The 27,947-nt window shown below is 34.3% G+C and overlaps 1 protein-coding gene and 1 long non-coding RNA gene across 4 annotated transcripts in view; one reads left to right on the top strand and one right to left on the bottom strand.

The window, feature by feature from the left end:
- The window catches only part of CALCR (calcitonin receptor), a 150,239-nt gene that overhangs the window by 106,519 nt on the left and 15,773 nt on the right, over positions 1 to 27,947 (bottom strand). The window lies entirely within an intron of this gene.
- Positions 2,662 to 27,806, top strand: LOC105375400 (uncharacterized). The gene is made up of 4 exons (XR_927749.3): positions 2,662 to 2,732; positions 19,804 to 19,932; positions 27,415 to 27,539; positions 27,650 to 27,806. It is a non-coding gene; the product is annotated as an uncharacterized LOC105375400 (long non-coding RNA).

Raw genomic sequence — 27,947 nt, forward strand, 5'->3', positions numbered from 1 at the left:
CATGTAAACAAAAATTTGAGAATCTTTGCTATAAGTTATTTGGAGGTGCCTGGGGAAAAGGCTCTCCACAGAGATTACAATGGAATGTACAAGTTAAATTATTATTATAGTTTTATTATATTTAAATTATAAAATATTATTTGACCATAAACAGGACGTTAAATTCTTTTTGAAATGTCTGTATTTTGAATTCATTAGAATTAATGTAATTTAATTACGAATTTCTCAACATAACGCTATATGGATGCTAAATGTGCCTTCACTCGGTGGAGAAGAATTTGCTTTAGGCAATGGGGGAATGGAAATTATTGAGTCGGAACCTGGGCTGAGTTGTTACTAAAGTCTTTGCATACCAGCAGGGATTTGAGATACTAAATTACTACCTTTGGTTTCTCATATGTCCATCCTCCATGCCCTGTGACTTCAGAAATGTATCCTTCCATCACACATTAACTTTACATATTACAAAACAGAGCAGAAAATCACATGCCATATTGGAAGATGGAGAAATCAGCAAATTGTCAATCTAGAGAGCTAACATGGAATATATTTCTTTTGCTTGAATTTATTTTTATATACTCCTCAAAGCAATTTCACAATTCCATGGGAATATGGATATATGTGATCTTACAATTATATTTACATTCTCTAACCCCTGATTTCTTTAATTGTGTTCATCCTTATACTAGTTTCCATGTCAACAATGCCAACTGTGAACGCTACTTGTAATGGAAGCTTAAAAACAAACAAAAAGAAAAGTCCCCTAGCTTAGGATACTTGAAATAACCCAAAGATTGGGTTAACTAAATCTTAATCAAAATTCAATGTGCAGCAACTAAAATTTTAATATGATGAAGTCATCATCAATGAATTATCATAAAGGTTTTTTTAAAATTCATTGATCTGAAAAATACTTAGTACATATACCAGATAAATAAATTAACAATGATCATGAATGTGATTAACATATACTCAAAGTTAAAATGTAATTCTTTCTGATATTTTAAAAAACAACTATAATGCAAGATGAATATGTGTTTTGCTAGTATGAACACTATCAAATACCCTAAAGTACTATCTATTGATAGCCATAAAGAAATAATTGTCCTAAATATATGACATGAATAAAACAAAGTAGTGGTAAAATAAATCAGTTTTCACTGTTTCAAAAGTTCCCTCTTTTTCAATTTTGGGAGAGAGACTGCTAAAGATGATGAAGTCTGTCTAAAGGCAAGTGCAACCTCTATAATAAAAATCTATCTTCAGTATATCTGGTGTTGAAAGGTTTAGCTCCAAGAGTGTAACAGTGCTGAAGACAGGAAGGGAACTCTTGCTAGTTATTCAGTCTTTTCTACTGTCTTCTGTCACTACTTTATAAGTCCTCCTGATATTTGTGCTGATGTTTGCTGCTCCTCTTTTTGCCTTAGGCAGAGTAGAGTAAAGTTCAGGAGGTTAGGTTAAAAAAAGACCCCAACCAGCAGGGAATGTAGTTTATTGACAGGGTTCTTTACAGATGGATAATAAGAGTAATGAGAAAGCTACATAATTGCTCTTCATGGTGTGCCAAAAGCTCAGTCAATGGCTGATATACATGAAACAAAATTATTAAAGCACTTTATATCAGACACTGGAATGGTTCCCTAAATTAGAAGAGACTTACTAACAGCCCACCTGGTTAGGTTTCGGAAGAGTGGACAGATTGTGGCCTATGGAAGCAATTCTTTACAATACAAATGGCAGGGGTGATCCTTTGCCAAAAGACCCAAGAGGACTTCTGCAGGAATTCAATACAAATCTACCTCATATAATAGCCTTGATTCCTCATGTCCAAAGCAAAAAAAAAAAAAAAAAAAAAAAAATACTTACTCAACCCTAACTACTTTTCTTTCATGAGCTTTCACAAAATGAGGGTGATAATAGTACTTGCCTTCCAGGATTGTGACAAGTATAAAGTGGGAAAATACCTAGAAACACATTTGAGGGATTAAAGATGGTAATTCTCTAAAAATAACCTGAAGACTAACATTTTAGAGGATAAAGGTGATGCCAATTTTCTCATTTTTATCCTTGTTATTCAATGAAATTGGTAATCTAAATTGAAAAATACTCTAATAACATAGTTTTGTTCAACTTCATTTTATTATTACATTTGAAATATGTAATAATGGTTTCGTTATACATCATTTTGCTTAAAGTCACAGTTACCAAGAACATGTCGACAATATTAGGCGAGGACTAACTGTACTCCCTTTTTCATGGGACTCAATTAATGTGGTTTTTATTTTGAATAAGCCAAAAGCATGTCTGATAGACACTTTCATTTTTTCTGTATTGGCTAAAATGCCCCAAAAATGGCTTGGCGCCAATCATCCAGTATGATTTTATTTTTGCAAAAAGTTCTAGAACTCTTTCCTCCAGAAGCCTGACACTTTTTACAAATTACGCTTCATACTTTCAATGTAATTATCAGCCTTTGACCTCTGTTGAAGTGCAAAGACCAATAGGAGGGATGAAGCACTAAACTGCTATTGGTTTCTGTGTTAATGAAGCATTGAGATAAGGTTCCAATGGGAGAGGAGGTTGAAGGAAAGACTTTTTAAAAAAAATGTGGCATTGTTAGATGCTTAGACAGGTACTGGAAGGTTTAGGTGGGGAAGCACTCTGAAAGGCTGGATTTACTCTGATTCAAAGGAAGTATACAGATGGGGTTCTTAGCTCATGAAAGTTAGTAGGTAAGTAGATCTAAAACCTAAAAAGTGTCAATGTTTTAGAAGCTTTTTTTTCTCCTTTCCCAGTAAATTAAAAAAGTACTCAGTTTTCTTCTGCTATAAATGTTATTTCTTTGGGAAGTAAATCTGGAGGTCACTGCTCATGGGTTTGTTAGCAGCCTGCTTTTACCTTCATAATGTTTAGCAGTTGTATAGAAACTCTTATTGCTCTAGAGACCATCTCTTTATCCCACATTTTATAGTAGAAAACAGACCACCATTGGTTAATAAAGGATCAATGCCTTTATCTAACAGAAGTATAATTTTGAAAATACCACTATAAAAAGAATGATCTAAAGTAGAAACATGACTATAAAGGTTTTGTCAATGTCATAAAGTTCTGTATCCAAATAGCTAAATATAAAGCTAAGAAACATGATTTACTATCCGTGTATCAAGTGTTTGACAACGATTACATAACAGTCTAATATTTACAATAGCCCTAAGAAGTATGTATTGTACTTATACATATAATACAAGATATGTATTATTATCTCCAGTTTAAAAAGTAGAAAGTAAAGCTGAGTATGATTAAGGAGCAAGTCCAAAATCACACAGAAAGTAAATGGATGAGCTGAGATTTGTAAAGTAGGAGAGCCTGCTCCAGAGCTCATTCATTTCCCTGTACACAATGCTGCCTCTTAAGATATAGTCTCTCTGGTCACGAGTGCATAGAATTGCTCAAGATGGTAAGCCTGACTCCTTCAAAAATAATTGTCATGCTTTTGAATAAAGATATAAATGTAAGTAGACATTATCTCAACTATGTCAGTACCCTTTCCAACAAAATTCCACTTTTACTAATTACAATATCAAAAGAGGCCATTCTTAGGAAGCGTTTTTATTTCTAATAGTGATAATGAGGGAGTATTAAACTCATACCTAACAGTGATTATAGAACTGAAGACAACAAATATTCTTCTGAAACTGGAGTTTCATTACATTTTTCTCTTCCTCCTTCATTTTCCAGTCAAATCATTGCAGCACAAGGCTTTACTGAAGAAACACACAGCTGTTACAAGAAATATTTATTCTAATCCTAGTCCAGAGAGCTAGTGTTTAGAAATATATAGATAATCCCATACGGAATTATTCAAATACAAAAGACAACATTTATTGAGTTATACTAGGTGTTTTATGTAGTGTTCAATCTATATAGAATCCAGTAGAGAGACTGACTCTTACCTTCATCTTACAGATGAGAAAACTAAGGTTTAGAGAATTAAAAACTTGCCCAAGATAATTAAATTAGTCAGTAATTAAGCTGTGATGCTAATCTTCCCAGCTCAGTAAACTCTATTTCCTCTCAACATTATTTACAAATTGTTTCATGGCTATTAATAATCTTTCCATAATTCTTCACTTGAATACTCAGAAAAATGAAAGTAAAACTCACTATTATTGAATCTTGCTGACCTACGATTTTTCGTTTTATACTTATGCTCTAGTTCTCCAAGTACAATCAGCATTTCCTATAATAATAAGACATAGTTTATATGAGACATAGGTAATTACACAACTGAAATCTATGGGATAATATATTCTAAACAAGCTGAAGGGCAAATATTATTCTTCCCACTAAAATAATTACACCTAGCTGGGTATTTCTCCATGTAAGCTTAAATTTCTTAAGTACATGGGCCTGTCTTGCTTCACTTTTTATTCTTTAGCACTTAAGCACACCTTTCACGAGTAAGTATGAGGATGACATAACATTATGTATGCTAAAGTCTTATGAACTGAAAATGGACACACAGATAATGATTGTTATGACACTATTACTTCTATGAATAAACTCACAGTTTTTGAATGCGTGAGTGAATAATGTTTTCATAGAGACCATAGGGCATCTCTCCTTGGTCCACTAGTTTTCACTTGAGAGATAAAGAAAATTACAACAGAATGTCAAAATTGAAATAATTTCATATTTAAAACCAGAAATAAATAACCTCAACTTATTTACCAAGGGCTGTGTATGCTCTTTATGGACTTGTCCTTGGCCTAAGAGATGGTGATGACTTCTGTGACCACATTATGAAGTTAGATGCTGACTAAGCCATATTGTGGGACCTTTGGAATTACCAAACAAAACTGAACTCTCTCAGCTAATGCTATAATATGTAAAGTTCTCTGGTTAAAACAGAATTTTCAATTTAAAAATATATTTGAAATAGTGTTTTGCATCCACTCAAATCTCAGCCTTCTTAACCTGTATCACATTGAATAACTTTATGTATTTATTTAATGTTATTATCTGTATGTATGTCTATACTAGTGTAGATAATGCATTCAGGTTAATAGTTTGCTACTGTCTTGGAGGAAAAGGAGTAACTTAACTGGTGAAGCTGTCCAGTTCTTTCCTGCTTCCAGTCATTGATTTTAAGTTGTGTGTGCAGCAAGTGTAAGAGCATTTTTAAAGTGGGAAATAAATCCTGATAGCTGTTTTCTATGCTAAATGCCTCTTGCCCCTAGACAGACACACACTATTTCATGGAAGTGAATGGCATACTTTGTCACTAGGCCTAGCCATTAATTGTGTTTGTGCTCTAATGATCCGCTTAGAGAAATCTGTCTCATAGTGCCATTCACTTCTGTTTAAGAAATGTTAACGTGTCCTATTGACTAATTTTGGAAAGAAAAACCAGAGACTTTGCAGAAAACTCTGAATTATTTTGATTTTATATAAAGAGTAAAACCTCTAAGAATTATAGAGAATAGTGGACTGCATCATCTTTTTCTTTTCCCCCAAGAGGAAACCTTTTTATTTTATTTTTAATTTTATCATTATTATACTTTAAGTTTAGGGTACATGTGCACAACGTGCAAGTTTGTTACATATGTATACATGTGCCATGTTGGTGTGCTGCACCCATTAACTCATCATTTAGCATTAGGTATATCTCCTAATGCTATCCCTACCTTTTTGTTTCTTTCATATGTTCAGTAACTTCTGAATTTTTTTGTATTTTCTCATGAAGTTTATTTTTTCTCATGTTGGCTTTTTTTCTTTTGGGTCATTCTTGACATAAGAAATTAGTGGTGGAACTTAAGTATGAATTGTGCATTAAATAATGGTATTATATCACTGTTAAATTTCCTGATTTTGAGAACTCAGCTGTAGTTACGTAAAAGAATATGCTTGTTCTTAGAAAATACACACAAAATATTTTAGGGTAAAGTAGCACAATGTTTCCAACTTAGCATTAAGTGATTTAGAAAAAACATAAATATCAAAAATTATAAAGAACATGGATTGGTAAATCTGGATAAAGAACATACAGGATTTTTTGTTACTATTCTTGCGACTTTTTTGTGAGCTTGAAATTCTATGAAAACAAAAAGAAAAAAAAACCAATGTAAAGAAAAAGTTGTGAGACAATTTTCCTCATTTTAAATAAGCATTCATATAACATTTATTAAATTGTTTAGTGAAGTAATAAAGTCTTTTTCTCTTATACAATGTTCCAAGTTTTAGGTTATAGTGAAATTCCCTCATTGCCACCATCTTCTAATGTGAATTTAGTACTTCAGATGAGAAGAATATAGTTCAATATTTTGGGTAATGAAGGTATCATTTGCTAGGTTACCCCATGGAACTGCAGTATATCAGAACAAATTAAGACAAATATTGGTGGCTGAAATGGGAACTGAACTGATGTCTCCCGATGTTATTTTTCTTTCACTACGTTGCATTAGATGTTTTTATTAGTTTAGTTCTATAGTATACATTTTCAACTCTTCAATATACAGTTTTTTATGGTTATTATTAGTTTAAATTTAGCCCTTAGTAATTAGCTTCTTATTTAATCAGTTTTTGCAATTGTATTTCAAAAATTAACAAAAATAATTTTTATGTCAATTACTTAACTAGCTTGTTACAGTGCTTTCCATGAAACACATTTTACAAACTTCCTATCCTTGTTTTGATTATACATGTGTATACACACACACACACACATACATACATACATACATATATATATAAACAATCTGGATGAAAAGTCAACATTTTAATTTCCTATAAAAAGTTAAACTACATATTTGATATGTTTGTATTTTCCTGACCAAATCAATGAAATTGACTAGTTTATATGGGGTCGTTTTAGTCAGGTCCCAAGACAATGTATTTTATGGTATCCCATTCATAAATGCAAACTTAGTTTATTTAAAATGGGTATTATTAAATAAAACATTTATCATATTTTTCCAGTAGAAAATTAGCCAAATAATGTGTTCAACATGTGCCTTTTAAAAGAAATCACTAAACTGTAGTAGTGATCATCTTGCTAAAATAATGGAAAATTAATGAAGAACATAGAACATATAACAAGAGACTAACTTAAATTGTTAATAAAGCTACACACTCAAAATACCTTAAATATCATAAAGTCTCTATCTTTATTGGGACCTTTGTGGTTATTACAATAACAAAAATAGCCAAGAATGCATAGTATGTGTTCTGCTGAAAAAGCAGATAGGCCTGGATAACATATCTTTTCGTGTGTCTGACTTCCTGGATAGATGATTATCTAGTTTATTCCTACCCTCTGGGGTATTCCTAGCATTTTTAGTGTGAAGAAGTATTTATTTCCTGTCTCAATTTCTTCTGCTATAGTTTTATGATAGTTATTCTTCTTCCACCTTCAGTGGAGATGGTAAATACTTATTTTTAGTTTTTGGAATTATCATCTTTTTAATATCACTGCATGCTCAGATCTTCCCTCAGGTTGGGGCTTCTATCCTGGGCTAGGTAATTTTTATTCCCTTAATACTGAAATCATTCTGTTTCTCAATCTTTAAAATACCTTGGCCTTCTTTCCTATATTCTGGTGATACTTAACCTGTTTTTTGTTTTTGTTTTTGTTTTTGTTTTGGATTGCAGACCCCTTTTGTGCATCTGATGAAAGTCACTGACCTTTCTCTAGACAGATAGGTGTACATGCTCAAGACTTCATGAACCTTTTCATGTGTGCTATACCTCCTAGAGCTTATACATGCACCCTCTGGAATAAAGGTTGTCAAAATAAAATAATCTGCTCAGATGATTATTTAAACAGTGGATTCCTGAGACCAATCCCCTGAGATATGAGTTGAATACAACTGAGGAGGATCTAGAATCTGTATTTTAACAAACTCTAGGTGACACTGATATATGGGGATGGTATTATATTCTGAAACAGAATCCTCTAGAGTTTAAGAGTCTCAGATGAAGAAATTCCACTCTATTCTTCTTCCAGATTTTGTATTTTTCATCTCTTAGAAGAATCTAAACTCATAGATCTTATATGCTTTATTCGGTATATGACATTATAATATGTTGATATGTTACAATAGCTCCCCAGGAAGTTTTATTCTCACTCTCCTTCTTTTTATATATAAAGTCCATTAAAATCCCTGGGGTAAGGATTTATGAAATCCCAATCACTTAAATCAAAGGCCCATCTCTCCTCTGAGGCTTCTTGTGAATTTTGTAGCATATGATGATCTACATTTATTGACTATATCACTTGTTTGGCAAATATATCATGTTTTATGTGTTCAAAATCTTGGTTGCCATTTAGAGTAGGTGTATGATGATTATCTCATTTCTGCCATTTCAATCAGGGGCTTTTAGGATCTAGTATTATATATCTGTTTAGTTACCAGTTGCTCAGCCCAGTGTTCTAGTAATACTGAGAAACGTAAATCATTGTTGGTTGATGAATGCATGGCTCTACAAGGAAGTGTTCCTCTGAAATCAGTGACTCTCCTTATGAGTCTCTGACAATGTATTCTTTGGTCAATTACACCCAAAGAGTCGTTTCTAGATGGTATAGGTCCCTGGAATCAGGCATGTATGACCTAGGGTTATATCCCAGCTCTGATATTTATTGTGTGTTCTTGTGCAAGTTACCTAACGCCTCTGAAAGGCTTGGTTTTTCCATATGTAAAAGGTGGTTGCTGAATGGGGAAAGGCAGAGCATTCTATGGCAAAGGCTGTGATGGAAAGAGCATGGTGTGCCCCAAGAAGTTAAAGACGCTTCCCTCTGATGCAATTCTAGAGAGTAAGAAGAAAGAAGCAGTTCACGCCTTTGTATGACCTGAACTGGAGAACCCACATCAAAGTAGGGATTTGTGGGGCCCCCGTCCACTGTTGAAGATACTCCAGGTCTGCAGTGAAATGAAGCAGAGGAGCATACAGCAGCAGAGATGAGAATAAGAAAGTACTTCCTGGTTTCCCACTAGGCTTTTAATGCCTAGTCCCATTCCCTTGGGGGAATTGTGGGGAGAAGAAAGAGAGTAGCTGCTTTCAGATTCTGTTCGCTGCCCTAGGATTCTTCCAACAGAACACTTGTTGCCCCGATGACTGCGAATTAATTTTTATGTGCAATCAAAAACTCCGATTAATTCAGCAGGACTTGAAAAGCAGGTAATTCAATATTGGACCTGGTGAGTTTTCAGTGCCTGTGAAACAGTTGCATGTGTATATTAAGTAGGAAGACAGCAGTCAATGGGTAGGATACTACTCTTTCCGTATGTATGGCAGGTAAATACATTGGCCCATTTGAATACAGTCACTCTGTTTTTGGTAAAATTGTAGCTGAAACTATTTTGTGCTGATGCTCAACATTTTAAATATATGGTACCATGTAATAAAATTTTGTTTGAATTGAGATCCAATAAAATGTTTACATTTATTTATACAATTTCCAACTATTTTGATCTTTATGTAACTCCCTGTGTTTCTTTATTTGCATTTACTTACAGCAAAATTGGAGACAAAATTAGTGCCCAATGGCAATCAGTATATTTTAAATGGCTAATAAACTCTATCTTTTCTTATTCCTTTTAAATAATTTGTATTTGTTTTATCTCTAACTGTCCTAATTTTAAAATATGCTCAAACTTTATGACAGCTCTAAGTTATACATCTTTATTATATTTTATATATTATATTTTATATATATTATATATTTATATTATATAATATTATATTTATATTATATAATATTATATTTATATATTATATTTTATATGTATAAAAAGTTATACATCTTTATTATATTTAAGTGGTAGAAACAGAGAATGGGAGCATATAAACATTAACATTTCTCTGTAAATCAACTTAATTCAGCATCTCTCTTTGCCCACTCATAATCAATCAGGATTCAGTAGAAAATAGTTCAATATTAATAGCAAAAAATTAAATTTCATTAAGAAAAATGACAAATGAGTGATTTGGCATGAGAACTCACTATAGCCTTACAAAGACTGAAAAAATACTGATATGTTTTGGTTTATAATTTGTAAAATATGATTGCCACGCAAATGCACTCCACTGGGCTGAACAAGACATACAAATTGGATTATAAATCCCAAAGCATCAAAGTCAAATTATGACTTTGTAAATGAAACACTAAACTTATTATTATTATTGTTTGAGATGGAGTCTCACTGTGTCGCCAGGCTGGAGTGCAGTGGCACGATTTCGGCTCACTGCAACCTCTGCCTCCCAAGTTCAAGCGATTCTCCCACCTCAACCTCCCGAGTAGCTGGGATTACAGGCACCCACCATCACTCCCGGCTATTTTTTTGTATTTTCATTAGAGATGCGGTTTCACTATGTTGTCTCTATCTCTTGACCTGGTGATCCGCCTGCCTCGGCCTCCCAAAGTGCTGGGATTACAGGAGTGACCACCGCACCCGGCCTTTATCTTTATGGTAAAAGAGCAACATAATTGAAGTTAAGTGCTAGAAACTGGGAGAAGATACATTCACTTCTATATTTGCATTAAATTCCTATTGACTTCAGAAAAATATACTGAATACTTTTATTATTAAAAAAATCAGCTGCTGAGGTGTTTTATGTTCTCTTGGTATATGATTCTATGGGCTAGAGGACACCACAAGATTGTGACTTATGTGCTAACGTACAAAGAAAGTTTTGCTGAGTGCAATTCAAGTTCCATCCTATCCATTTGTCCATGTGCAAATTTCAAGAGCTATGTGGCTGGAACTATTCACCCTTCTTAAAGAGTTTGGTCTGTGGCTATCCACGGTAAACTGGATCTCCAGACTTCTAAATAATCCCTACAGTCTGCTATAGGGCATTAGACAAATCTGTGATGTTTTTACTTTCTGAGAAACTAATTGCTAAGCATTATGTTAAAATTCATATTAGTAGCTGGTTTTTTTTGGATATAAACACAGTATGGCTGATTACATAAAATTTGGAAAATTAGAAAAAAATACATAGAGAAAAAGTCACCAAAAACTAATAAATAAGTGACAATCTTTGCTGCCATTTTGATATATTTACCTCTCAGTCTGTTTTTCTATGAATACAAATATATACAGTGATATGTTGCTTAACAACAAAGATAAGTTCTGAGAAACGCATCCTTGGGCGATTTTGTCATTGTGCAAATATCACACAGTGTACTTACACAAACCTAGGTGATATAGCTTACTACACACCTTGGTTGGATGGGATACCCTATTGCTCCTAGGCTACAAACCTATACAGCATGTTACTGTAATGGGTACTGTAGACAACTGTAACATGATGGCAAGTGTTTGTGTATCTAAACATATCACAGCATAGAAAAGATACAGTAGAAATATAGTTTAAAAGATTTTTAAAATGGTATACCTGTGTAGGGCACTTATAAATGGAGCTTACAGGACTGGAAGTTGCTCTGGGTGAGTCAATGAGTGAGTGGTGAGTGAATGTGAAGGCCTAGGACATTACTGTACACTATGTAGACTTTATAAACACTGTACACTTAGCCTACACAAAACTTATGAAAAAAATTTTTCTTTCTCCAATAATTTATATTTAGCTTACTGTAACTTTTAAAATTTATGAGCTTTTAAATCTTTTGAACTTTTTGGCTCTTTTTTAACAAAACAGCTTAAAACACAAATTGTACATTTGTACAAAAATATTTTATTTCTTTTATAAGATTTTTTAAATTAATTTTTTTCTTTTTAAACTTTTTTGTTAAAAACTAAGACACAAACCCACACATTAGCCTAAGCCCACAGGGTCAGGATCATCAATACACTGTTTTCTACCTTCATATCTTATTCCACTGGAAAGTCGTCAGGGGCAATAAAACACATGGAGTTGTCATCTCCAATGATAACAATGTTGTCTCTGGAATACTTCCTGAAGGACCTGCCTGAGATGGTTTTGCAGTTCACTGATTTTTTTTTTTTAAGTAAGTAGAAGGAGTACATTCTAAAATAATAATAAAAGGTATAGTATAGTAATACATAAACCAGTAACATATTCATTTATTGTTACATATTATGTAATGCACATAATTGTATATGCCACATTTTTTGTTTGGTTTTTGTTTTTTGTTTTGAGATAGGGTCTTGCTCTGGGGCTATAGTTATAGTTGTATATAGGACTATAGTTATACATACCAGGCTGGTGTGCAGTCGCACGATCTCTGTTCAGTGCAACCTCCACCTCTCAGGTTCAAGTGATTCTCATGCCTCAGCCTCCAGAGCAGCTGAGATTACAGGTGCCCACCATGGCAACTGGCTAATTTTTGTACTTTTAGTAGAGACCGGGTTTCACCGTGCTGGTCAGGCTGGTCTCGAACTCCTGATCTTAAGTGATCTGCCCACCTCAGCCTCCCAAAGTGCTGGGATTACAGGCATGAGTCACCGTGCGTGGCCTGTATATGTTACACTTTTATACAACTGGCAGTGCAGTAGGTTCATTTACACCAGCATCACCACAAGCATGGAAAGTAAGGCTACGATGTGAGCATGGCAATGGCGTCACTAGATGATAAGAATTCTTCAGCTCCATTATAATCTTATGGGACCACTGTTGTATATGCAGTCCATATTTGACTTAAATGTCATTGTATGGCCCATGATTATATATATATATACACACACACACACACCTAAGAATGTACAGTTATTGTGCATTTGGGATCATACTGTAACTAGTTTTTTTGGCTAAGATTTTTTTCCAATGAGTTTTTTTTCAGGTCCAATATTTTTTAAACCAAAATTATAACACACATTAGTCTATCAAATTGTTAAAGCTATCATATTTAATATTTTAAATTATTGTTTAATTGTATTTTTTCTTCTGTTACTGGCCTCAGTAATTATTACAATTAGTACTTAGGGTATATTTGTATGTGATAATAATTGCTACAGTACTTCTGCCTTTTATATTTCAGTAGAAATTAAAAGTAAACAAGACATAAACTGCTTAACATACAAACAAAATAAAAAAGCAGAATAGAAATTGAAAAATTTGCAGCATAACTTACGACCAATCATGACAATTATGACCATAAATGTAGTTGGAATACACTCTTCCGTTAAGAGATAGTAACTTTTAATTTTGTTAAAAAAAACTATATCCTGCTTACATTGATAAGAAACTAAAAAAAATAATGCCAAAATTAATGAATAAAAGAAAAACAAAATTTCTTCTGATACCAAATATTAATAAAATGGAAGAAGGGTTAAAAAATTAAAATCAAGAGGGATAGAGTCTCCATATACTAGCTAAGGCTGGGTGTTCACAATTTTTTAAAAAGTCTTCCAGTTTGTAGGCAAATATGGTACTAATTACATTAATTTACATCTCTCATCATTAGTAAATTTGAACATTTTTCATATGTTTTTGCTCCCCTTGGTATTTGCTTTCTATTTTCTTTGCATATTTTCATATTAGTTTGTCATTTTTGAAAGAATTTTAAAACATCTTAGATGTATTTTTAATAACATCTATTATATAGATTGTGATTTTGCCTTTATTTTTCTTTGTAAATTTTGTTTATGAAGGTTTTTTTTCACACATAAAAGATTTTAGTTTTTCACTGTGTGGTATTTTGCTTTTCTCCTTCAAATGGTCTGAGATATAGACTCATCTACATGTTTTTCTAATTCTCCGTAGGTCTTTTAATTGGAAGTTGGAATGGGACTTACCAAGCTTCTCAGCAACAGTGTGACCTAAATGACCATTTCTTTATAAAGGCAGATTTGGCCAGGAGGAGCTTATGGCAAATCTTCCCACAGCTTTCCTCCAACTGCTCAACAGCAAAGATATTTATGTCACTGTGAATCTCTACACCTGTGGTCAGTGATTTCATGCTGCTCATGGCTCATTTCATGCTGAGCAGCAGGAAAGGCCACTGTGCAGCTTTCCCAGGCTGAATATGAACTCATCTTTTCTGGAGCTGTCTCACGCTTTCCCCAGACTGTGGAGAAGGGCAGAAAACATGCTCTATGGTACTACTGCTTGGACTTTTTCGTTAGGCTGCTTCATGGATAAGGTTGGGCCTGCTGCATGTTAAGTTGGTGGGATGGGAAGGATAAGGTACTCATGTGATATATGTATCTTGGCCTACTTTGTAAACACAGAGGCCTTACACAAATGCTATTCCAGTTGATATTATTATCAGGAATAAAGGAACTTAGTCGGCTCCTGAATAAAATATGACTTTCACATATGCTGTTGCTTTTCATGTTACATAGATTAAAAATCCTGTCCTCTGGCTGTAGAGTGCTGGTTTTGTTAAATTTAGACTTAGAAGGGCAATAAATATTAAAAGAATTTCAACTATCCAGTGTAATTTCTGCCTCTAGATAGACAGGCTCAAACAAAGTGAATTCTGGTTAAGAAGTTGTATTTAACAGAAATTTAACGTGGTATGTCCTCATATTAGGATTATGTTGAATTAAAAGATCCAGGTCAAACAACCTTGCCTGCTGGACTTCGATGATATTTTGCCAAAAAATGATGGAAGCCCCATTTTTGGGGCAGCTGATGCTAGGCTAGCCAGGACCCTGAGAACATGTTTTAAAAAGACCCTATGCTGGCAAGAAGTATAGAGATTACTTCATGGGACTTCTGAATTACCAATTATTTTTGCTGGATTTTTGACACAGTATTAAATTTTTTTTTAATCTAAACAAAAATAGTTGTCAACTTCCTGAAGTTAAACTTTAGTCCTGCTACTACCATGGGATCGACCTCATATCACCCCTTTTTCATCATCTGACAAGGGTGGAGATTGGAGCAAAAGCAAGGAATCTCCTCACTACACTCCATGCTTAGGTTTCTGTTGGACAAAGTGAGTTTTCTCTAGCAACTAAGCCTAATTAGGGATTAAAGTAGGGGCTAAACAAGTGAAATAGTGGTAAGAAGCTCTCCTACACATATATATTTGAGTACTCTCTCCCCTTACTGAAAGAAAATAACAAAAAAAATACTGTTGCAAATTAACAAATTCAGAAAATGCTAATATGAAAGAGAATGCCATATTCTAAGAAATTTTTTTACCATAATCCCATAGGCAATATTAGTATTTTATTAATAGGATGTTAATAGCCCATTAACTCTAACAAGGTCCAGGTATCATGCAAAGTCCAGGTATCATGCCAGGTGTTTTATTATAGAGCAAACCCCTATGTCCTGTATTTCCCAAGAAAGTACTAGCTCACACCTGTTGTCCTGATATAATTTTAATAACATCCCTGTTCACTCACAAAAGCATACCAGTTTGAATGACAACTTATATGGTTATACTATTTTTATGTGACTGATTACCCTTTATCTTAAAGAGAACTGTGACAAAGACGCTATTATTATGATCCTCATTGAGAAACTGATTTACATAAAGGTTAAATAATGTATTTAAAGCCACACAGTTTTTAAGTGGCAGTAGCTGGAAGTCAAACCCAGACTGTCTGGCCGCAGAGCCTGAAATGGTGGCTTCCCAACATTTGTCCTGAAGCTGGGCCCATGAGTGAGTGACTTTTTGTTTTCTTTTTCTTTTCTTTTTTTTTTTTTTAGACAGGGTGGAGTGCAGTGGTGGGATCACAGCTCACTGCAGCCTCGACCTTTCTGGCTCAAGTGATCCTCCCACCTCAGCCTCCTGAGTAGCTTGAGACAACAGGCACGCATGACCACACTTGGATAATTTTTGTATTTTTTTTTTTTTGGTAGAGATGTGGTTTTGCCATGTTGCCCAGGCTGGTCTTGAACTCCTGGGCTCAAGTGATCCACCTGCCTTGGCCTCCCAAAGTGCTGGGATTACAGGCTTGAGCCACCACACCCTGCACGACTTCTAATTCAAAGGATGTTATTAGATTGGAGGAGAAACTGGATGCAGACTTGGGTTCTCTTCCTCAAGATAAACTGCTGTGTATGCCTTCATTCTCATCTTTATCCTCCCACAGTCGGGTAAAGGAATTATGTGAGTATATGAAGGGACAAGCTCTCAGAAGGCACTGAGAAGAAAGTGCAGAATGGAGACAGATCTCACCTGACTCTAGCAAATGCCAAAAAGCAAGGAAAAAGACCCTTGATCTCATGGTACGGACCTCTTAGGACAGGTTATCTGACTTGTGGGAACTCCACTCTTGGTAGATCTGGATCAAAGCTAGAGAGTGCATATTTTAGCTGGTAGTTAGGGTCACAAAAAACATTATGTTAATTTATAGATCACAGTCCCCTTTATAGTTTATGTTATACATAATGCTATAGATAGCACTGCAGTTTATTGATTTCTAATTTCTGAATGCAGAAAACTTTGGGGGATATATAAACAAATAATGAAAAGTACTTGAAATTGCATTGCAAGTGTCAGTTATTATCATGCTAACAAATTTACTTTTTTGTTACTTAAAATTTCCAATGCCTTAAAAATTAGAAGCATACTATTTAATGTGAATAATTTTTGTAGGTGGCTTTGTCCATGAAAACCACATTTGTACTAATACTCATTCAACAGAGAATTTGAAGCAGGCCATACTTAATTTGCTCCTCTGTTTTATGGACAGGAAAGCAGAGATATGGGTGATCTACTAGAAGTCCACACAGGTCAACCATGTGGGGTTTGAATTAGAATGCAGGTGCTCCCAGCTCAATCACAGCAATAGATAATCCCACGCAATTATGTTTCCTCACATTTGGAAAGTCACACCTGAGTATTCAAAGCAAGTAATTGGTCCCAGTAACTTACTTTCCCAGTAACTTAATGGGCTGTTTCTGAATTCACTTGACCTCTGTATCATGGACTTTCAGCTGTGCCATCTCATCAAAGGCCTCAGAACATTGTACGGGGGGTAGTTTGCCCCTAAAAAAGGAGCTTATGGGACTGTGCTGATTGCTTAAGCACGAGAACAGATGTTTATTTCAAGGCCACATTCCTCATGCTTCAGAACATTGCTTCCCTGAGACTTCCCTAAGACAGTGGTTTTCAAGTGGGTGTACACATAACCCTGTCTATGGAAATACTTTCTAAGGGATGGGCATATAAGTAGTTTTGAGTGTCAATTATCGAGTTCTTAATCTCTGTATATTCTCTTTTCTAAGACTGATCTGTCTTACAACTTGTCTGAGGTGTGCGGAGCTCTCTTTTCTCTAACTCCTGTTCATAAACACCCTTCTCCCACTTTACAAAAGAACAAACAAAACAATAGCCCACCTCTCATTCATCTTGGATAGAGCATCTTTTGGGGATATAAAGAACCTCTTGGCTCCAAACACTAGGACTTGTTGGCAAAGCGAATGACTCTAATGACCAGTTAACAAAGCTTTGTGCAAGTCTGGTGGTTTCCAGTTCTTTGCTTTCAACAACATTGTAGGAGGGTCTAAATAAGTTGTTAAGCTGAAAAATTACACATAATTCTTAATGATCAATCATCATGTGATTTTTGACATATAACTAGGGAGGAATTTATAGAACCGAGGGAAATAACTATAATAAAACTCCAATTTCACCTACTTTTAAATATAAACATGTTTTTTCAGCAATGAGGTCAGAAAAAACAAAATTATGAATAGAAGTGAGGGTGATAGTTGTGTACTTCTTGCAAAATAGAATCTTTGAGCATGGATACATGAACTAGTTAAAATAAAGAAAAACAGAAAAAAAAAACCCAAAACAAAATACTTCATTCATCTCATTAAGAGAAGCATTTGGAAAAAAAAAAGCTTTACTTTAACTACTTAGGAATTATTAGAATTCATAATGTAGTTATGTTGTCTTGGCCAATTGTGAGTTGATAATAATTGCAATAATTCAATCCAGAAGAAGTGTGTGTGTGTGTGTGTGTGTGTGTGTGTGTGTGTGTGTCTGTGTGTGTGTATGAATTTCAAGTTTTACTCCCTGGGACTTTTATTAAGATTTACATTTTTATACCATTTTTTCCCCCTGAGAATTGTAATGCTGTGATTATAAAAATTCTCAAGTAAAGAGGTATTACGTTGGATTTAAGTTATTTCCTTATTTTTGGGAAGGGAAATGGAAATATAGTTAAAGCACATGACAAAAAAGATACAGAATTTCTAATTGTTACATTTCTGCCAATTATTCAATGAAGGATGTCTAGTTGATCATTTAGCTTTTTGTGACTTCATGTTCTCATGTTTACAGTGGAGGGGTTGGATAATCACCATTTATTATTTTAGCTGCTGAACTCTTTATTCAGATGGAATCTTAAAATCTGAATGATGAGAAAGTATTCTTAGACCAATTTTTTTTTGTAAGTAAGGGCAATAACATATTTTTCAAATGACTATCTTAGTTCTAAAGTCTATTCCCTTTTCTCAACTAGGGAAGGTAGAGAGAAAAAAGGGATATCTGATAGAAAAGGGAGAATGAGGTCCTCTCAACTACTGAATTTTCCAGTTTCCTGAGCATTCTGAATTTGTAAACCATTTAAAATACTCAGCTTAGGAAGTTGCTGTTAAATAACATAAAGACAATTACCCTGGAGACTAAGAGATGAAGTTAATCATTATTTTCCATAGAAAGTTTTCTAGGAGAATAATTTTAGGTTAGGATTTGTGGTTAAGGTATCAAAAATGAAAACATCAAAGCAAAAAATTGAGACTTTGATTTTAAAATTCATTCAGACAATCTGACCAGATAAACCTCCTCTATTAGGGTTTAGGGCTTGACGAAGACCTTATTAAATAAAGTTAATGGAAAATGCAAAGCCAATGCAGCTATGTATCTTTATAACCTAACCGAGATGTAAACACCATGAACAGTGTTTAAATATTACCATGATAAGTACATTCAAGAGATGCTATCCAGGAGCTAACCTATCCAAAATGACCACATGCTGCTGATAGAGCAGTGCTTTAAACAGCACAAATAGGCAATTCAGTTTCAATCACTAAAAATCTCATCTTCTGAAGAGATCAGACTGGCAATATAATTAAATGCAATAATTTGCTTCAGAACATAAATGATAGAGTTCATCATTTGTTGCACTTTAGCTAAATACAACAATATATCAAAATGTGAGGTGGAATCTTTTTTTATTTAGAATAGAATATTTAATCAGCTTTATTTTGAAAAATAATGACTTGGTTAGACAGCATTTACTACATATTCTATGTATATGGTTTTGTTTTCCCTTTAAAGAAAAATTAGTGAAAAGAATTGTCAATTTAGGCCAGGTGTGGTGGCTCACGCCTGTAATCCCAGCAAGTTGGGAGGCTGAGGCAGGTAAATCACCTGAGGTCAGGAGTTCGAGAGCAGCCTGGCCAACATGGTGAAATCCCGTCTCTGCTAAAAATACAAAAAATTAGCCGGGCCTGGTGGTGCATGCCTATAATCCCAGCTACTCAGGAAGCTGAGGCAGAATCACTTGAACCCGGGAGGCGGAGATTGCAGTGAGCCGAGATCATGCCATTGCACTCCAGCCTGGGCAACAAGAGTAAAACTCCGTCTCAAAAAAAAAAAAAAAAAAAAAAAAAAGTCTTGTCAATTTGGTCAATGTTGGCCACTTCAGTATTTTTAGAATTCACAATAATTATAACCAAGCATTTCCATTTGGGCTAAACACACACACACACACACACACACACACACACACACACACACGAGAGACAGAGTTTTGTAACAATTGCTAAAGGGTATCAGACAAGAACAATATCTGAATGCGATGGCAAAACACCTACTTGATATATTCAAATAACTAAAATGCATTGATGTTTTTGTCTGAATCATCTGCATAATTTGCACATGTGACCTTCTTGTTGTTTACTTAGCTACTACTATGGTTCAGCTGCAAAGAGTGCACCTGTGATACCAGCTCCTAGCAATCCAACACCAATAATCTTGATTCTGCAAATTTTCACTTCCAAGAAGTTTACAAAACACATCTGTAATATTTAAAGGTAAGTTTTTAATTTATACCTGCTTCTACTTATCTCTGAGGAAGAAAAAATGATTAGACATGTATAATTTAAATATTTGAAGGAAGAAGCCATTATGAGTGAGTCTAAAATTAGCAAACCAACACAAAACAAGATATAAAAGCTTGAAAATTACTTAATTTCAAAATATATTTCTACAAATGGAGTAAATATGCTGAGTGTATGTGAAAACACTATGTATAAAAGCAAGTCCATCCTGAGATTTTTCAAACAAGTTGAAGAAAATTCTTTTTAAAAAAGGCAAAAAGCCATTAACAGAGTGTTAACACTGCGCCACCTTATGGAGAACTTGTCAACTCCTAAGAAATGCGCTCAAGAACTTAAAACGTGTATTTCATCAGGGAGGGTTCTAAGAGCCTTTGTCAGGGATGAAGCTCTGGATATATGCAGGCAAAACTTTTCCAACTCATTTGACAAGCGATGTCCCTATTTATTACCGAGGACTTTTTGATTACATGATTCACATGCTCATAATCAATTCTTAAATGTTCAAACAACCATAACAACAACTTCTTTACAGGTTTTTTTAGTGCCAGTTATTTTGGGATCCATTTCCACAAATACGATAGTAACTTTATTTGTAGGCACCAGGTCAAAAGTGACAGGAAAAGTAAAGAGGAATTTGGTAAAATCTTGTAGGAGCTTCTGGTCTACCATCCCCTGACCCTTTGGGAAACAAATTTAAGAACCACCCTTTGTGGGGAGCATCTCCTGGATGGAGAGGATGGAAGGTGCCAGTGACCTCTACTGTCAGCAAAGGTATCTGTAGTTTTGGACTGTAGGAGTCAAATTCTGCAGTATTTTGCTTTATTTTACAGATAACACAAATGTGAAATTATATCCTGCTGATACAGTGTGTTAAGCCCATTTAAGTAGAGATTTCATATTTTGGTAAATATGATTGAGATATATTTTCAATATAGATGACACAAATTAAGAAAAAGGTCTGTCAGCAGTCAGTGAAATGGATAATCATAATAAAAAGAACAGGACATTATATTGAAATATTTACCCTGAAATCAAAGAATGTCAATGTGGCAAAGAATGTGCAGAGCATGTCGACCTCGTGGCTACAAAGATACACACTAAAACTCAGGAGGTGAAGTGATAGGAATAGTTTAATGCAGAGAAAAGCTTGAGTCATCACATTCTAGCCTTGCCATTTATCAGCTGAGTGATCTTGGGCATTGTTCATTAGCCCTTCAGACTAAATTTTCTCATCTGTACAAGGTAAATGTATTACCTAACTTAGAAAGTGGCTATGAAAATTAAATAAGGTAAAATGCCCAGCTCAACTTCTCAAAACCAAACAGTTGCTCAGTAAATATTATGAGCTTACCAAAGTCACAAAACCTGTTGGCAGAGCTGGAGATGGAACTCGGGTGTCCTAATAGTTTATGTGATGCCCTTTCCAAGGCCACACTGTTTCAGGTCTTACATTAAGTCATTTAAAGCTAAGATTCAGCTTTATTGGTATGCAAATGAATGGGCCTACAAATATGATTTCAACTAAAACTAAGGTTAAATACTGATCTTTGTGAACCCATTGATAGGCTATATTTTATTCAGCACCGTCTTTACAAAAGCCACTTTCATGGCCTAGAGTATGGCTGAATCCGGTTTGATATAAAACCTTTATATTAAACCACATCTCTGTAATTACTCCTCTTTGGTCTTTTCCCATGTTCTCTAGAGGTTAGAACTAGAAGCCTAATTTCTTTGACAATTAGCATTATCTCCAAACATGAATATAGCACATTAATAGATTGTTATATTAAAGAGAATTTGTGAATCTCAAATAACAAGAAATTGACAGAGCTCATAGGAAGAAATGCTCAAGTAGAGTTCCCCTCTTCCCTGTGTAGCACTCCTCCCCGGTAAAAAGGGGATTTATTTTGTCCAGATAGACATGGTGGGCCATATTCAGTGTAGCACATATCACAACTTTTGGGAAAGACCCGAGAAATTCTTCCTCACTGAATGAGATAAACATAGCACTTGTTTCTATGGCAATGGTAAAACAACAACGTATCCATCTGTCTGGCTACATAATGGACACCTGACCTCACACCTTCTTCTTTCAAAATATATCACGTTATTTTAGAGGGAAAAAGTTTTCAAATAAAATGACTTTTATCCAATTATGGGTTATTTTAAAAATCTGCTATCTCTTTTCTCATCGAATTTCACCCATGGTGGAGATATTTCACTGACAAGATGTTGATTGTCATTCTGTGGAAGACAGTGTAGATTGGTTTGTGTTGCTCCACCAAAGGTGCAAATCAGAGGTAGGGAGATTTTGGTTCAATATGTCAAAGAGTTTCCAGAGCTGCTCAACAAGGGAAGAGCTGGGAGATCCTGAGGAGGTACTGGGTATTAAGGACAGGATCCTTTAACAGACAGAAGTTTGGTCCAGATAATGAGCAAGATCACTTGTTACATGAACGTTCTGTGGTGCTAGGTTTACAAAATGCATGCCATAGAAAGATGTTAATGAAAACTTACCCTTTTTTTTTTGCACAACAAATTTTGGAGGCAGATTAATACAAATGGTAAAGACACAGAGTGGGGTCAGACTTCCTGACAGATCTGTCAATAAGCTCTGCTCATTATTAGCTGTATCACTTGGGCAAGTTACTGACGGTTTCTGTGCCTCAATGTCCCCATTTGGAAAATGGGGCTAATAACAGCATATATTTATAGTGTTGTTATGATGATTCTATGAGTGAGTACATGCGAAGTGCTTTGAAAAGCACTTGGTTCAGATTAATCTTCTGTACTCTTCCACCAAATGTTAGTGTCTTCTTCTCCACAAAATTATATCATATTTGACTATACAAAAGGATGTCTGTGTGATCCAAAAGCAAGCAGGGATAGTAACTACATGGTACAAATCCATGCTATCCCACTGTATTGCCATGATAGATATTGCCTTCTAACACGTCACTAAATCCCACTGCACCTAGATGTGACCTCAGCATCCTTCTCAAAGCAGAGATCTAGAGCAGACAAATGAAAAGAAACCTATTTGTCATTTCTGCTTTTGTTAGTTTGTTTAAGAAATCTGGATTTAAACTTTAACTGTAAAACTTGTCAGGGTCAGAGATTAAACCTTCCATTGCTATATGTACTCCACTTTTTGCTTTAGTGTGACATTTTCACGTGGATTTGTCAAATTACCACAAGACTGCTTTTATCTGTTTATTTTTTATATGAGAAGTTGTACATTTTTAATAAGCCATCATGAAAATTAGTGTATAAAATATGCTTTGTTGGAAACATCATTTCTATTACAAGTCATGTGTTAGACAATATATTTATTTCTCATGAAATTCTATTTCCTAGAGTTTGGCAAGTAAGGTTTTCAACACTTGCTAGAATATATCTGTTTCTATTTCTTATAGAATAAGAACCACCTTACATATGCAAATTTTCCTTAAAGAAAGGAAAGAGATCAAAGAAGATAGAAGCTAGACAGTACAAGTGACCTCAATGATTAAAGTTAACCCTGTCATAATTCATTTCCAACAAGGGATTTATACTGATCTTTTACCCTTTCTGGTCATGAGAACAAGGTAGCTAAACCTACGGGAGGCAGGGATGAGAAAGGACTATAGCAATACAGAGTCCAGCAATAGCACATTGGGAAGAGCAGAAAGTTTAAGACCCATTAGCAGGCTTATTTCCAGTTTAATCTAAGCATTACGTTCCAAAGGGAAGACCCATTTCCCAGGTTAGGATAAGTGCAGAATTCTGAAAGCAAAGATGATAGATGTTCAAATTGCCAGGCCATGTATATATATATATATATATATATTATACGTACATGTCATTTTAGAAAGTACACAATATCACTATTTGAGCACTTATTCTGCACTAGTCATGTGCTGAGAACCTTAATCATTCAGTCTTTATTGACACAGTAAATCTGAGAGCTAGGATCATCCCTATTGATTATGTGAGAAAACTGAAGCATGAGAAAATTAAATTGTTTTTTGTAGGCCATATTGGCAGTAACTAGCAAGACCAAGACTTGATCTTAGAATCTCTGACTCCAGAGTCTGGGTACTGACCCCACTGAGGGGACAGGCGATGCTGGTTACAGGGAATTGCTAGGTTCCATCTCCCTTGGGCTTGAGGGCTGCTGGGAACTTCTGTGTAAGCAGGTCCCAGCCAGATGAGAGGGGATGTCAAACAGGCATACTACTCATGTGTCAGTACTCTGCAGAGCACTGGAGAACTCCTCGGATGAATAAAAGGAGGTCAGGGTTTGATAGTTGGAAGGGGACTTTTATCTGATCATGCTCCAGCAATGCCCCATCATTTCTGTGCTTGAAAACAGTGTGGATACAGTTAATGCAGGGTCCTGAGGCACTATGGATGTGCTAGAAAAAGGCTGACTCATTACTCTCAAACTAGCTATGGGGAAGAAATAACAAGCCTGCATACTCCTGGGGTCATCTGGAATAGACAGGAAAGGACTAGGGTTAGCAGTCCAAATAAATTTGATAGTGGTTTAAACTGCAAAAAGTCATTTATGGAGAAGGAAACAACAACAACAACAACAAAAACCCTAAGCATTTTGAATGATGTCTACCTTCCAGTTGTTTTGAAAGGATTTACCATTTCAACCATTTATCAAATGGGAAACATTGAATTCCAAACTTGGCAAATAGTTTATTGGTACAGTCCAGTAATTATATCAAAGTGGCATAGATTAAGCACAGCACTGAGTTTATCATATGTTTATTAAAACGGGTAGAAGCATAAAGCTAACATATAATCTGAAATCATATTTTTAAAAACAGGTCTTAATAAACAAGAACTTGATAGGAAGGAAACTAGACTTGGGCTGATCAGTGGACAGATATTTATCGCATTTATGAATGAACAAGTTTTTCTGCCCTATTTTTATTTTAATGAAAACAGTCATGTCCATTGAGATCTTTTAGAACAATAATGAAAAGAGTAAAACTCTTCTGTAATACAGAGGTGACTCAAATAGCAATTGCTTGGGACAGATATTTCACACTGTAGGGCTTCCCTTAACCAAATACTGCATCCTGCAAAGAGTTCCTAAATGAACATGGCCATGGAATTATTTCTGAATCCATTGAGGTTATCCTTAAGTCATCAAGATACTTGGGGATACTTGAATTTTTTTCTCCAGGGTAACTGTTTGCTTTAAAACAGTAGAGTAGGGATGGAGGATGAAAACAGAAATGGAATTTGGATAGACCTTATTATCAGTGGCCTGATATTGGCATGAAAGCAAAGCCTGACCCTAAAGGGCACTGATATTCTTCAGTCAGATATAAGTGAGAAGTATTTTCCTGGATTTCTGAGATCCTCTTCAAGAACAACTGGTCTACACTGTTTGAGTTCAAATGTCTTTAAATGTCTTTCACTTTTTCATTAAAATTTGCTCTAAAATATTTTCCATTATATTTTTTTCTGATTGCCTTTAACAAAATACATATTTTAAATTATGAAATCTAAACTGGAGATAACTTTTGTTTTGTAATTTATTTTATGTGTAAAAGTTTTCCCTCATACCCATTCTACTTCTCCAACATAACTTCTCAGAAGTAGAAACAGTTAATAATTTCAGGTTTACCATTCTAGACATTTTTCTGTGCACATAGGCATGTGTAGAATGTATAATTTTACACAACAGGATCTTTTTTATCTATATATATATATTTTTTCCTGAAACTTTCTTTTTACTTAATATATGATGACCATATTTTCATGTCAGTACATATAGATCTGCCTCATTCTTTTGAAATAGGTGTATGGCATAATACATTTGAGTATTTCCCTATTGATTGGCATTTAGGCAATATCCGTCTTTGAAATACTACAAATGATATTGCAAAGAATATTCTAGATGCACCTAAAGATATGTACAGAAAGACTCGCATTTCTGTAGGGTAGAAAATATGTAGAAATGCTGAGCCAAAGCATATGGGATTTGTAATTTTCACAAGTAATACTAAATTTTCTGCTTCTCTTTGATTATTAGTGAGGCTAAATGTCTTATCATAACTACCTTGGCCATTTGGTTCATCTCCCATGACTTCCTACATTTTGTCCTTTTTATTTTGAATTTATAGAAACTCTTTTTACCTCAGTGTTTAATAACTTTGGAGTCAGAGACATCTGAATTTGAATCCCAGTTTTGCCTCTTTCTTGCTAGATGACTGGCACTTTACCAAATGTCTCCAATCTCAGACTGCTTATGTATAAAATGAAGATAATAAGAGTACACATCTGATAGTTTTTATTTCTTTAAAAAATTTAAAAATTGACAAATTAATATTATATATATATTTATGGTATGCAACTTTATGTTTTGATATATGTATACATTGTGGAATGGCTAAATCAAGCTAATTAACATATACAAGAAAAAAATGATAGTTTTTAAGTCTTAAAAATAACATGGTGATTGTAAATTTTTAGTATGGTGCTTGGTACAGAATATGTGTTCAATGAATATTATTTGTTCTATACATCGTGAATACTTTTTCCATGCTGTTAGTTGATTGTGAATACTTTTTCCATGCTGTTAGTTGACATATTATTATTTTCAGAAATTATCACCATATAGAAATTTTATATTTAGATATAGTCAAGTCTCATTCTCTCTTTATCTTTTGGCTTTTGGGTTTTGTGTTATGTTTATGATTATAACACCTAGATTATAACAAATGTATCATCTTGTGTTTCTCCTAGTGTATCAATATTTGTTTCTGAGTATGATAGAAGGTAGATATCTGCTTTGAATTTTCTGTCATTTTGCCACTGATTTAAAATGCCAATGTTATCATATACTAAATTCCAATATGTTCCTAGACTCCATTTTGTTTCCTTAATCTATTTATCCTTTTCTGTGTCAGTACTGTAGTACTTTAGCTATTTCAGCTTCATGGTATGTTTTGACCCTTGAAAAAGCAAGACCCTAACTCTTTTTAATCTTTTAGTTATATTTGTTTATTTGTTTATTACCTAGTTTGTGATTTAGAGGCTTTCAGGGAAATGTCGCCTTGTCTTTATTATAATTGCCTAAAATAATACTTAGCTCAGACTAGGCACTCAATATAGGTGAGTTGAATAAACAAACTTAAATCTTGTAGTCTTTTTTAACACCTTTTTTTTTTTTTTACTGTTTCTTAAAAATTCTTACTGATGAAATTAATCATGAATACAGAAAACAATATAAAACAAAAATATAAATATCCTTCTACCTACTGCCTTGTATCCAATTTTTAGAAAGAAATAAAACAATTCTTGTGCTTTATAAAATTATTCTTCCAGTAGCAGTAGCTTTCAAAGTAGTTATATTGGTAGAATCTTTATTTCTTTGTATACCATGGTTTGATAATGTTTATTTATTTATACTACTTAAAATGACATTATTTACTCTGCTATTTGTTTTAGAAAGAAAAAATATTTCCTGGAACTTTCACCTTTAGTGAGTTAGAAGAATGCCATTTGAAGTAAATAGAGATTCATTGTTTCTCTGTATTTCTCAAAGAATCAGTAGAGATATTGAGAGGAAAAAGGTAGGTTTCACATGTCTTGCTGTTCTTGATAGTCTTTTAAATAAAGACTCTTATTATATTTATCATCATTTAACTGGAATAAAAAAACCTTTTTTTTCTTATTTACACAGTTCTTTCTCATATAAATTTGGAATATTGGAAAGAAATTACTGGAAGAAAAGAAAATATTAGAAACATGGGTAGTGATGAAGCAAAGAATCTGAAATGCTTCACTCAAAACCTCTTGAACTGTGGAAACGATGGGGAAGAGAGTATGTCAAATGAGATCCCGGGGAAGGAATGCGAGCTTGATAGCTTGACCAACAGCAACAAAATGACCTGAGAACTTACTAGAAATGCAAATCCTTGGGCCTCACCTTAGACTGAATCAGAAACTCTGGGAGTGGGGCCAGCAATCTGTTTTGACAA

The sequence above is a fragment of the Homo sapiens genome, chromosome 7, assembly GCF_000001405.40.
Source record: "Homo sapiens chromosome 7, GRCh38.p14 Primary Assembly".
NCBI classification, from domain to species: domain Eukaryota; kingdom Metazoa; phylum Chordata; class Mammalia; order Primates; family Hominidae; genus Homo; species Homo sapiens.